The sequence below is a fragment of the Homo sapiens genome, chromosome 16 (genome assembly GCF_000001405.40).
Source record: "Homo sapiens chromosome 16, GRCh38.p14 Primary Assembly".
Lineage (NCBI taxonomy): Eukaryota > Metazoa > Chordata > Mammalia > Primates > Hominidae > Homo > Homo sapiens.
The window spans coordinates 53,951,484-53,964,383 of NC_000016.10; the positions used below are offsets into that span (position 1 = coordinate 53,951,484).

The following is a 12,900-nucleotide window of genomic DNA, read 5'->3' on the forward strand; positions in this document are numbered from 1 at the left end:
CCAAGGCCTAGTTCAGAGAGTCCTGAAGTAGTGCGCTGTGCGTGGCACACAAGATGATTCTGTGAGACACTGATGAATACTTTTTATTTGAAAATTTATATGCTTTGCTTTTTGTGTATATAGGGAGACATTTGAAATTCACTCTCAGCAATTTTGAAATCATGCACTCTATTATTATTAACTGTGTTACACTGCTATGCAATATATCTCAAAAACTGATTCCTCCTGTCTAACTGAATATATTTTACGTTAGGTTAGAAAAGCATAATTAGAATATTGGATCCATGGTTTTCAACTAATATTATTGAGGACAAGACTCAAATCAATCTTGTTTTTTTTTTTAAGTTGATTTAAAGAAAAATGCTAGAAATGCAATAATGTGGGTGGTTCATGGATATGGCTAAAATCATGATAGTGGATCACATCATCAAAGTTTATAAAATGCTGGCCTTATAAACTGGAGGGGTGCAGAAACATATGTTTCAATCATAATTATGCTATTGATTATGAAGAAGATGCTGATCATCATCATCATCATAATAATAGCAGCTAACCTCCACTGAGTCTTTACTGTATGCCAGGTACTATTCTACGTGTTTTGCCCATATTCCTTACTTACTCCTCACACCAACCCAGTGAAGTAGTTTTGTTTTGTTTTCTTTCATTTTATAGTTAAGGTGACTAAGACCCAGAGAGGTTAGGGAATTTACTCAGGATAGCACAGGTTGTCAGTGGTCAAGCCAGGATTTGAGCCCAGGCAGTCAGCTTCTGGTGTCTTCTTCTTAATCTACTTCCTTTTGTGATAGATTAAGAAATATTATTCTCTCTCTGTTCTCTAAAGAAGAAAGGTGGAGAAGCAACATGGAAACATGCAACATAGCATATGATAATGCCATGATTATCCATGTTTTCTGAAGGGCTCTAACCTGTGCAGCTGACTGGACCCTGCTGAGCCTTTGGCTTCCTTATGTAGCATCCTGGATGTGTACTAGAGCAGATGACAAGGGTCAGTGGAGCAAAAAAAATCTTTGGCAACTTCCCATATTTTCGTACTTAGAAAAGTATCATAATTCTTTTCCCCAGTCACTTTAAATATATGCAAGCAGTATCTAATCTTGTGGGAAACTGAAAGTGAAACTCTCTAGCAAAGAGCATGGTTATATTCCAAGGCAGAAGAGACAGAGTTAACCTATGAAAATTAACCTTGACTGTCAACAAATGTGCTGAAATGGGTGGAAGAATACAGCCCACAAGACTGAGATGTGGGTGGGAATTGGATCTGCCAGGTCCCAGAGCTAGACCTAATGCACATGTTTGAAGTTCTTCTGTGACTCTCGATTAACCTTGATTTAAAGTTCCAGAAAAATGCTCAAGCAGGTGAGAATTCTCATACTGTCTTTCTCATTTGATATTTTTCTGAGCCAAAGTGCCTACTTTTTTTGAGCGGTATTTATGACTAGTTACATTGCACAAGGAAACTTGACTTGGGTGAGGTGTTAAGGTATGGAGAAATGGATAATTGGGAAACTTAGAAAACCCGTCCAATGAACGTTTCCAAGTCACCCTCCCCACGGGCCTAGAGTCATCATGAACAATTACTTGAGAATTGTGAAGGGCTCAAAGAGGAAAACTGCAGAACAAAATGGGTTGAAAGAATGTATACTTTTGTCATTTCGACTTGAAGCCAGGGGCTAAAACTCATGTCTTACACCATTGTAGTCTACAACCATTTAATTTGCTAACAAGACTTAACTGATCAGGATCTGCAACCTCCTTCTCCAGTATAATCAAAACAAGAAGCATTTGGCTCTGGAAAGTAAACGTTGTCTATCTTTTATTGTCTGGCCCCACCATTTTCTTTCTGGCAGGCTGAGATGAAACAGAAAGCTGATATTTGGAGCCACTGGAATTGTAGGCCTTGTAATTTAGAAATATCCATTTTATCCCGTGTAATTTCTTCCCTAAGATTCCTCAGTCTAAATCTGATACAGGTAGGAGCCAAGACAAACAGTAACCATTTATAGTCACCCAGACCAGTTTGAATTTCACTCTAATGTAAAGCAAAAAGAGTTTTTGGCTTCATTTCAGGTGTGTAACAGGGGTAGAAAATGCATTTAAAATTTAGCAGCAAATGTTACCATATGTTTCCATAACAACTGCAAACTTTTATGTTAGAAAAGCAATAATATAAACACGTAGGAATCTTGGAACAGCAAACTATTAATTTACCAAATATAAAAAAATCCAGCATGAAGGGGCTTTTATAGCCACAGAAGCCATGAGGGGCCCAGCATCCTGTGAATTTCTCCATTATGTGGCAGAAAATGCTGCTGGTTCATTTAAATGAGCAAATCTTTTAAAATTATAGGTACAGTGTCCATTCTCCACAGTGCATTTTTGTGAAACAATGTGTGGTGATGCCAGCTATGGCTGAATTCTTCTTACCATATTGAACTAGTAAAATACGCTTCGGAAGCTACTCCCAATGTATATCTGTAAAACAACAGCATTTTCTACCTTCACTTATAGCTTCAAACTTAATGACGAAGGCTAGGGTCCTGCAGAAAGTGTAGTGCCCAGTAGTTGGCCCTAATGCTTGGCAAGGAGTAGATGTTCATAGATTGTTGATAGATATGAACAAGGTTCTCAGTTTTCTCACCTACCCATTTTGAAATATAAAAAGACAAGGGGAAAAGGGGAAAGGTGGATCTATTTAAGCACATCTCGAGAATGAGGAGTTAGTAAGAGTTGTTGAAATCAAATTCTCTGTTCTCTGATTTCCCTGTGGAACAAAGAAATAATCTTCTTTTAACATGGCTACCTGTGGATGGGCCTTTCATTTAAAAGGAGGCAGAACTTTTTTTTTCCCTAGACCTACCTCAGAGGGTACATAGGGTTTTGAATCTTTACTACAATAAAACCAACAATGTTACCTTGTCATTTAAGGCAGATGGCGTACCTTGACTATTCCTGAAACTTGGGTTCATGATGTCACTATCATTAAACATATACCAATCAATGAAGGGTAAGTAAAGTCAAAGAGAAAAGAAGGTCAAAGGGAAGTGGCTGACATAAAACTTAGGTGCAGAACTCTGGGTGCACAGGGGATGCATTCAGGAAGGGTGCTGGTGTGGCTGCAGGGTAGAGAGAAGGGTGAAATCTTCAGAACTTTAGAAGGCAGAGTAAAGAGACGACGGTTTCAGCTGTGGCAGGGTTTTCACCTTGGCCCCTCTTTAGCTTTCACAGTAGAGCCCATGGGCTGTTGAGCCGGAAGTGGTGCAGCAGGGGCATTGGTTAGGAAGGCTCACGTCGTTAGTGGGCCAAAGGAGATGGACGCTAATGTTTAAGGAGCCTGAATGGATCTGAGAAAACGTGGCCAAGCAGAAGCAAGAGTGAGTGGCATGATTTAGAGTAGCAGAGATGGGACTGGCAAAAGAAGAGCTGCTTTGTGAAGACCTGATTCATTCCCAACTCTTTGGTGGACCTCTATTTTTAGAGCAGAAACCTAATTTCACCCAAGTTACCACCGTCTCTAATTAGACCAGTAAGAAAGTTTCTCCTGTTTCTGTCAGTGCTTGACCACTTCTGGAGTGTTTTATCCCATAAAGCATTCTTTAAGCATTAGTGCCATTGGAGTCTAGCATTGACCATATGGGTCCTTAATTTGTATCTGAGTATCCAGTTGCATGAAGATGGATGGTTAAGAAAAAAACCAAGAGCTATTCATTTATTCCACAAATATTTACTGAACACCTAACAGTGTCCCTGGAACTGGGTATACAAGAGTGAACAAAAAAACCACAGCCTGTTTCTTGTGCTGGTAGAGCTTACAGTCTAGTGGCAGGAGGCTGACTAAAAATAAGCAAGCAAGTAAAAAAGAGGATGTCAGATAATGACATGCACTATGGAGAAAGGCAACAGGTAGGCAATTGGGGAGGGGAATGGAACTTTTTAGGGAAGCCTCATTTAAGCTGAGATGAGGGGGAAGAGAAGGAACCAGTCAATATGACAGAGGGAGAAGTAAGTGAGATGGGATGAGAGAGGAAGGAGGGGTCACATTTTAGGGTTGGAGTAAAGACTTCATCATGGAGTTTGCTGACAGATGAAACATAAATCCAAATTCTATTTACAAAGTATACGGAAAGTTTCCACTGTGTGGCCAGTGCTGTGTTAGGTGCTGTGGAAAACACAGTTCCTCTAATCAAGGTTATAGTTTAGTTGTTGGGAAAGAGACATAATTGATTGTGAGATAAATGCCAAGTTAAATAACATTGACCATAAGTACATCATGAGCTCTTTGAAATAAGTAGTCAGTGTGAATTGGGGAAGTCTTTATGGAGAGAAAGAGGGCATCAAAATTGGAGCTCAAAACTATTGAGGCTGGGCGTGATGGCTCATGATTGTAATCCCAGGGCTTTGGAAGGCCAAGGTGGGAGGATTGCTTGAAGCCAGGAGTTCAAGACCGGTCTGGGCAACATAGCCAGATCCCATCTCTACAAAAAAATTTTTAAATAAAAATTGAAAAAAAAATCTATTTTGCACCTCCTATGTGTTGATGGTTTGTGTGTATCTTTAATTTTTTTCCTTGTAGTAATCATACAAAGGTGAGTGGTTTCATCCCCATGTTATAGATGATGAAACTGAATTCAGAGAAAGTTAAAGATAACTATTGACAAAACTTCAGCTCAAACCATTTAACATCTGAGAACCTAAAAATCACTGACCACTAACTAAAAATATGACGGGCTTTGAGCATCCCTGTGATATTTCTCTCCCTGTCTCTTTCTCTGTTTTGCCGTTGATATGCTAAATGTCAGAACCAAGAGGATCTGTGTGCTTGTTTTTAGGGCTGTGGGGAGGAAAGAGTGCTCTGGGGAGTGGATGGTCTATTATGAAGCCTGTCTTTGGGAGAAAATTCTCCAAATCGAGCAGGTAGTGGCAGCTACTAAGTGATGAAGAAAGCAGATCTAGTCACTGGAGGAGAAGAGGAAAATTAGTGGAAGAAGTAGGTACTTCTTCCTTACCTTGTAAGGTTCAGGAGACCATCAGGATGAAAAGATCATGAAGACTATTGCAATTAGAACACATCTCACCGGTGTATTTCCCACAGACAAGCAGAAATGCTATAAAAGGAGGCATAATACAGTCATGAAACATCTAAATTTTCCTTTTTTTTTTTTCTTCTTTTTTATTTTTTAGATGGAGTTTCATTCTCGTTGCCCAGGCTGGAGTGCAATGGCACAATCTTGGCTCACTGCAACCTCCACCTCCCGGGTTCAAGTGATTCTCCTGCCTCAGCCTCCCAGGTAGCTGGGATTACAGGCGTGTGCCACCACGCCAGGCTAATTTTTTTTTATTTTTAGTAGAGACGGGGTTTCTCCATGTTGGTCAGGCTGGTCTCGAACTCCCGACGTCAGGTGATCCACCCACCTCGGCCTCCCAAAGTGCCGGGATTACAGGCATGAACCACCGCACCTGGTCCCACTTTGGTTTTAGAACTAAGGCAACCCTATTTAAAATGTATTTCTATAATATGTAGATGTTTGCTTCAGGGATCCTTTCCTTAGATTATCTTTTTAAGGGTTGGCCTGGGCATAGATAGGTCAACTTTAAGATGATCTTTTTTCAATTGAGGGCATATCCCAATAAAATTTTCTTATCCCCTGGCTTGCCCGGGGCTGGCATTTCTGACAGACGTGTAAACAGATGCAAGCATTGTTGCTAATGACAGGTGATTATAAGAGGCATGGAGGCCAAGGTAATTAAACCACGATTTGACAGGGACATTTGGCAATGTGATATTTCAGCATTAGAACTCTCTTTGCAACGCACTTCCTCCACTTGGCTTGGTGAATATAATTCATTTTTATTCTTCAGAGTGTGTTGCTTTGAGATCTGAAACTGTCCTCTCTGAATTTCTTCATGGTTCATTGTAGAACGCTAGAAAATGATTACCATTGGACGTTGTGGGAATCTAGTCAGTATCTAAGACCCTATCCAAGGTTCGTCCAGTAGTAGTGGAATAGGGTCTGTGACCCTACTGCTGGCATTGTATTTGAATATTATTATGCCCTATGTGATAGTGATAGTGCCTTTGGAGAGAAACATGAGTTATTTTCATACCACTCTAATTTCAGTTTCTCTGTTACCTGGATTTACTTGACGTTGTTCTCATGAATCAAAAGATAGCTTATTCAAATCTCTTCTTCCCTAAATTTCCACTACTGGCAGTAGGAGAAATCTCAAATTATCAGTAACCTGGTATTAGGAGGAATGATAGTAGAAATGATCATCAAGACATGGAATTTATTTATTCATTGGAGTTGAATGTAATTTTTTTAAAGTACCTTCTTTTTGCTATCAGTAACAATGCCTCTTTAGGCATTTAGAGACCACCTCCTGCTAACCGCTAATGTGGCAAACTTATGAATATATATTTGGGGGAATCCTATCTTCTATTGTTTAAATAGCAGACCCTCATGGACTGAATATTTATAGTTTTGATATTGACTAGCTACATGAATTATATTATTTATAGTGAACATAGTAGTGTGGTTTCATCTAATAAAATAACAGGTCACATTTACTATTTGTTATGGTCCTGGCACTTGTCTAAAATAGCAACTTTTCCCAAGTAGGTCAATCCATTCCTTGACTGCAAAATCAGCTTTTTAATACTCTTGGTATAGGGCATGCGTGGCCATTTTAAGAGATCAGTGAATCGGCCCACTTAGAGAAGGTTAACCACTAGCTAGATAGCTGTTACTTTTCCTCGACCAATTTTGATTTTCCCCAGAAAGGGATGTAGAGGGAAATGAACTTGTGAGTATAGTTTCTTATGGCAGAGGAGTGCTGAGTGATTGTGCCTCTTCCTGGGTTGCCTCCTCCAGCGTGGAAAGCTTGGGAACACTTCGGCGGGCAGCCTGGGAAGCTGGCGGCCGGCTTTTACATTCTGCTTCAGGCTGCAGTCTGTTTCTAAGCAGAGGCTTTTTTAAAGCTTTGTCAGATAGGTTAAAAGGTGTCCCACCCCCGGTGTATAAAAAAGAGAGAGCGAGATTAAGCTTACTAAGCCTGCCATGTTCCCTGTAAAATATCAAGTCAAAATGATTTTGAAATCCAAAGTTACCAGGCTTAGGGGGTGTGACCTTGAGTGGAAGCAGCCTGGGAACTGGGAAGGAGAGATCTGTGCAAAAGACAATTGGCCACAGGCTGGTGGCCTCGGGAAAGCTGCCGAAGCCAAAGTGAATTGTCTCATTTCTCTGCCTTGCAGCCAACAGAGCACAACCCCAAATAAATACTCAGCCTGACATCTAGGCCGGTGGATTCACCATGGAGCTCCAGGCAGCCAACCTTTCTCAGAGTGCCTGCTTAAAGCAAAGCCTGGGTTCAGCTCCAGCAGCTGATGGGGGTGAATAAGACAGGGTCTCTGCCCTCAGGAAGCTTAAACTCAGAAGAATACCACTAAAAATTAAAATCCTCATTGAACCCCTACAAAAGCATCCAAATCCTTTGCATGTATTATGAATGTGTTTAATCCTAAATAATAATAATACTAACTAGTACATATTAAGTGCCTCTCTGTGCCAAGTACTTTTTAAGTGCTTTATGTGAATTAACTGTTACAATGGTAGGTATGTTTATTATCTCTAATTTTAAGAAAAGGGTACGTGGAGCCAAAAGATGTCAAGTAACCTTCCCAGGGGCACAAGGCTGGGAGGCAGGGGAGCTGGGATTCCCAAGCAGGAAGTTTGGTTCCAGAGCCCATGCTCTAGGCCAGTGGTTCTGTAATTTTAGCATTAGAATCACCTGTGGGCTTGTGAAACACAGATTGCAGGCCCTTCCTGAATGGGCTTGAATAGTTGCAGTCCTAACAAATTCTCAGGTGATGTGGATGCCCACAGCTCTATGCCAAGTGGGAAGAGCACAGTGGAAACCAGTCACTATAAAACAAGGAAAAGTGGAACATCCTGTTACTGATGTAAGCAGAGTGCTTTGAGAATGTCAGTAGTAGCTAATAATAATATTATTTATTATTATTATAATTATTATTGTCATTATAACTGTCATTTATTGAGTGTTTGTACTGGACACTTTTGTAACCATGTAACCATTATAACTGTTACTGTGGGTAATCTCATTTAATCCACACAACAACCATATGAGGTGTTAACTGTACTGTACAGCTCAGGAAACTGAGGCACAGAGAGTTTACAAACTTGCCTAAATGACAGGCCAAGGATTCAAACTACCCCAGCCTAATTCTGGAGCCTAAGCTTTTAACCATGAAGAAGATAGTGAAAAGAAGGGAATCAAACACCCATCCATAGAGCAGGTAGGGTACAAGCTGGGTCCTGAAGGAGGAAGATGCCCAAAAAAGGCTTCCCAAATGGAATGGATATGTGCAAAGGCCCAGGGGCATGAAGGTGCAAAGTGTGATAGAGAGTGAATAACATGGAGACTCGTGTGTAAACTGCATGGCAAGAAGTGATGAACCGTAAGGATGGGAAAGCAGGTTGGTTGAACAGCCTTGAAAATGAGGAGTCAACAGTATTCAAGACTGGACTTGGGGATTTTTGAACCTGTCAGGGACACACTCAGCCTCAAAACTCATTTTTTGAGACTTCCAAACAGAATGACAGTCATACTTTGTTAAAGATGCAATGGGGTCATCTCTTCTCTCCTTTACATAGTTTGAGAGTCTCAAAATACGTTCAGAGAAGAGCTGGATGTCTAAGGTTACTAACCCTGTGACAGTGAATCACACCCTGCCAGGGGAAGGGTATTTTGTACACAGCCACATCAAAAAACCAGTGGGATCATGTGTGCCCAGCTGTGAGTGTATCCGTGTATAAATCCACTCACTACACTTAGAAAATGCCTGCCGTGCGTGGCACTGGTGCAATGGTATCGTTGGAGCTGCCAACTTGTTTTATTTCTGATAGTGCTTGGCAGCCCCTGAAGGAGGGAAAGTATGAATTTTTATCTCCCATTTACTAGACTTTCATTGTATTGTGCTTACAGACACAGTGTCAGCACATAAAATGTTAAACATCACTGGTCTGAAAGAGGCTCCCATTGTCTTACCTCTGGTGCTGGGGGAATCTTGCTAGCTTTGCTGTAGTGGTTCTGTCAGTGTAATATGACATGAAGCATTTCTCAGTAATGACAGACATTGAATATGAGTGACAGGAACCCTGACCACAAGGAATGGGTTCAATTACCAGAAATGGGGGTGGGGGGGGCGCGGTTACCTGAGATAAAACCAAAGGGCCCAATTGTGCTTGGTTTTGACCCCTTGACTCCCAGATCCAGAGCAAAGACAAATGGCTGATTAACCAGCCCCTAACCCTCTTTTTCAGTGATAAACTTGTTTGGATTTCTCTGTCCGAAAAAAAATCTATGGGTGGCATGGTTTCTAAAGGAAATATGATCAGAAACAGGAGGACTGGTGCTCGTCATTTTTGTCTCTTGCAAGCACAAAACTGAAAACTGTCATTCTATCTTGGACTGGATCTAGGACGGTGTCCAGAAATCAATACAAGATAAATGATTGCTCTCTTCACCCCACCTTTCTTCTGCTGCAGTGCCTACATTGCTCCAGTTCACCTGTAGCCAACCTGACGCCAGTGTAAATGAGAGATCCTGCCATCAGAGGCTCTCCTTTTTTTTTTTTCCCCTCTCCTGCAGGCTGTTCTGCTCTGCATCGAGTGCAGCTTTGTGCTTGTTTATAGTCCACTGCTTACAGCCCCCAGATAGAGTTATAGCGAGCAGACCAATTAAACTGTCGCAGGCTGCCCTCACTTGACTAGCTCTGCAGAGTCATTTAGCCAGCAGACATTCCTGACTATTAAAGCTAGTAGCAGCATGTCTCCAGTGCTGGAGATAAAATGAATGAAATTTGTTATTGTGGGCTGACACTTGATCCTAGCTGTTGAACTAATGCTGTTGCACCTGAAGTTTTTCTTTATGGTAATTGCTGTCTATGTTATTATTTCATATACTAAATTGGAGAAAATTGCAACAAGTATTAAATTCTTTGAGCTAATTCACGAGAGTTCTATTGTGCATTCTTCCAAGGTAGATCCCAACTTCTGTTGAAGCCTGGGAAGACAGATGTAGCTAGCCAGATGCACTGGCTTGTGTTTCATCATTATCAGAGACATTTCAATTTCAGATCTGGCCAGGCATTTATCAGCTTTACCTGAAATCTCTTTTAAAATACACTTTCGCTTCTAATTCAGTCAGCATATGTTGGGATCTACCCTGGGGAATTCAGTTATGATGACCAACATTGACAGTGATTTGCGCTAGTCTGGCTGATTCAGTGACAGATACTTGGTGGTATCAGTAAGTCTCTGGCACAGTATACGCTTAGGTAAGTGGGCAGTGTGAAATAAGACTTCCCACCGGGCACCTTTGGAATCCACAGCTCTAACTGGGAGTCCTTGAACACCTCAGGTAGTACCACTTCAATGAGAACCCATCAGAACAGGTACATGCAAGGTACACCGCCTCCCAAAGCATCCGAATCACTAGTCCTCACTGCCCTGCCCATCTCCTAATTTCTGTTAACTCCTTTTACCAGATCTCTTTCCAGAATTAGGGAGATTATTTTAGACTTTTCAATATAAACCATATTCAGAGTTTAGTGAAATCTCTGAGGCCTCTGTTTCTGTGGTAGATTGCATAGAAGATCATTTCTTTTACAGCATTCATTTGTATGCTTAGCTTGTGGTCAGAGCTCGTGGTGAAGGCTCCAGACAGGACCCAGAATAAGAATTCAGGCCTGGTTTGTGGTAGAAGTACTATGCTTGCTTTCATGTTAATGCTTTGGGAAGACACTGACCCCAATCATAACGTTACTTTAATTTCTACCTGAAGACCACACCTGACAGACATAGCAGGGCTCTGTCAATTACAGGGACATACATCTCTAGAACCCCAAGACTTTGTCACCTCCCTACTAGGAAACAGTAGGCTGGTTGTACTCCATATTTTGATTAGAGGCAAATGTGAGAGGCCTGAACGTCGAAGTACTAGAAGAGAGACATGGGGTTTTGTTATTATGTTTCATCATTCTGCCCCCAAATTTAGGGACAGTCCACAGATAATGATGCGTCCTGCATAAGTGCTTTCTCTCTTGACATAGACAACTGTAATTTGAATGATAATGGCTAGCATTAGTGTCTGTGGTGGAGGATTTAGATTGCAAGTTGAAGTCCATATAGTTTGTGAGGTCCCAAATATACTGAATGTATGTTGGTCTGCATTATTTCTGATATTCATAACCTTTGTTTAATAAAGAAGCTCTTTTAACAACTCAAATCTGCTAAAATTGAATTACTGTAATTTGCAGCAAAGTTCAGCATGAGAAATGTATATTTTCTTTCCCCACTGAGAAAATGAAAGAAGCATTAGTCTTTCGTTTATATATGAGATGGGTAGATTATGTATAGAGTATCAAGTTTAGAAGATTTATTTTCCCACGCTCAAATCCAATAGGAAAAACTGGCATTTTCATCAAAACTAAACTAAGACTAATCTTTATTCTATTTTCTGAAATTGCCAAATGTACAAGTTTTAGGTATTTTAAAACAGTATAGTCACAGGCAAACATTAACTTGTTCCCAGCGGTCCTTCAGATGCACATTCATTCTTGTCTTTGGTATTTGAGGATCCTAATGATACCATAATAACACAAGTAAAAGTTGCTGTATAATAGCTGCATGTGTGCATTTCAGACCCAGAACTAATTCTCCATGTTTCTGTCTCTGTGTCTCTCAAGCAGGAGTGGTAAGCTCTTCTCTCCAAATCTTACCTGGACTTACTTTTCTGTATATTTGTGTTATTGTTGGGGCCTAGATTGACCTCTTTTGTGTGGACAGCACAGAGAACATAGGGAAGACCTCAGCATGCAAGCTGATTGACATCATTTGGATCTGTGTCTCTGACCAAATCTCATGTCAAATTGTAATCCCCAGTGTTGGAGGAGGAGCCTGGTGGGAGGTGTTTGGATCGTGGGACAGAGTTCTCATGAATGGTTTAGCACCGTCCACCCTTGGTACTGTGTAGTGAGTGAGCCCTTGTGAGATCTGGTTGTTAAAAAGTGTGTACCACCTCTGCCCCGACCCTTGCTCCTGATCTGGCCACGTGACGTGCCTGCTTCCCCTTTGCCTTCCACCATTGTAAGTTTCCTGAGGCCTCCCCAGAAGCTGAGTGGATGCCAGCATCATGCATCCTGTACAGCCTGCAGAACCATGAGCCAATTAAACCTCTTTTCTTTATAAATTATCCAGTCTCACTCTGTCTCCCAGGCTGGAGTGCAGTAGCACGATCTTAGCTCACTGCAGCCTCCGCCTCCCAGGTTCAAGTGATTCTCCTGCCTCAGCCTCCCAAGTAGCTGGGATTACAGGCACCCGCCACAATGCCTGGCTAATTTTTATATTTTTAGTAGAGACAGGGTTTCACCATGTTGACCAGGCTGGTCTGAAGCTCCTGACCTCAGGTCATCCTCCTGCCTTGGCCTCCCAAAGTGCTGGGATTACAGGTGTGAGCCACCGCGCCCGGCCTACCAATGTATTTCTTAAAATTTAAACTTTAAAACTGTTTTCCTAAGTGTGGATAATTTAGAATGGGTTGAGCTGATATGGTCCTTCCCATGTGAATTATAGGCCTTTGTTCAGGTCAGGGATCAGCAAACTTTTTCTTTAAAAGGCCAGATAGTAAATATCTCAGATTTTGTGAGCCATACAGTTTCTGTGACAACTGTTCTCCTCTGTTGTTGTAGTTCAAAAACAGCCCTGGACAATATGTAAATGAGTAAGTGTGGCTGTGTTCCAGTAAAACTTTATTTACTAAAAGAGGTGGCAGGATTTGACTGTCAGGCCATAGTTTACCAAC

The 12,900-nt window shown here is 41.3% G+C and overlaps 1 protein-coding gene across 20 annotated transcripts in view, besides 2 other annotated features; it reads left to right on the top strand.

Moving 5' to 3' along the window:
- Positions 1-12,900, top strand: part of FTO (FTO alpha-ketoglutarate dependent dioxygenase) — a 417,979-nt gene that overhangs the window by 247,521 nt on the left and 157,558 nt on the right. For 3 of the 20 annotated variants that reach the window (XM_017023654.3, NM_001363988.2, NM_001363896.2), the window contains one exon: positions 5,200-5,306. The exons of the other annotated variants lie outside the window; for them this stretch is intronic. In XM_017023654.3, the coding sequence (XP_016879143.1) occupies positions 5,200-5,284 (85 nt within the window). In that variant the 3' untranslated portion in view covers positions 5,285-5,306. Of the gene's footprint in view, positions 1-5,199; positions 5,307-12,900 lie in introns of those variants that run through there. 20 annotated transcript variants of the gene reach the window in all.
- Positions 1,235-2,798: an enhancer, noted in NCBI's record as "VISTA enhancer hs157". NCBI's record gives its function as "enhancer in: eye[4/10]" and the evidence as "EXISTENCE:transgenic organism evidence [ECO:0001131][PMID:17130149]".
- Positions 8,663-10,548: an enhancer, noted in NCBI's record as "VISTA enhancer hs156". NCBI's record gives its function as "enhancer in: branchial arch[4/5] | nose[4/5]" and the evidence as "EXISTENCE:transgenic organism evidence [ECO:0001131][PMID:17130149]".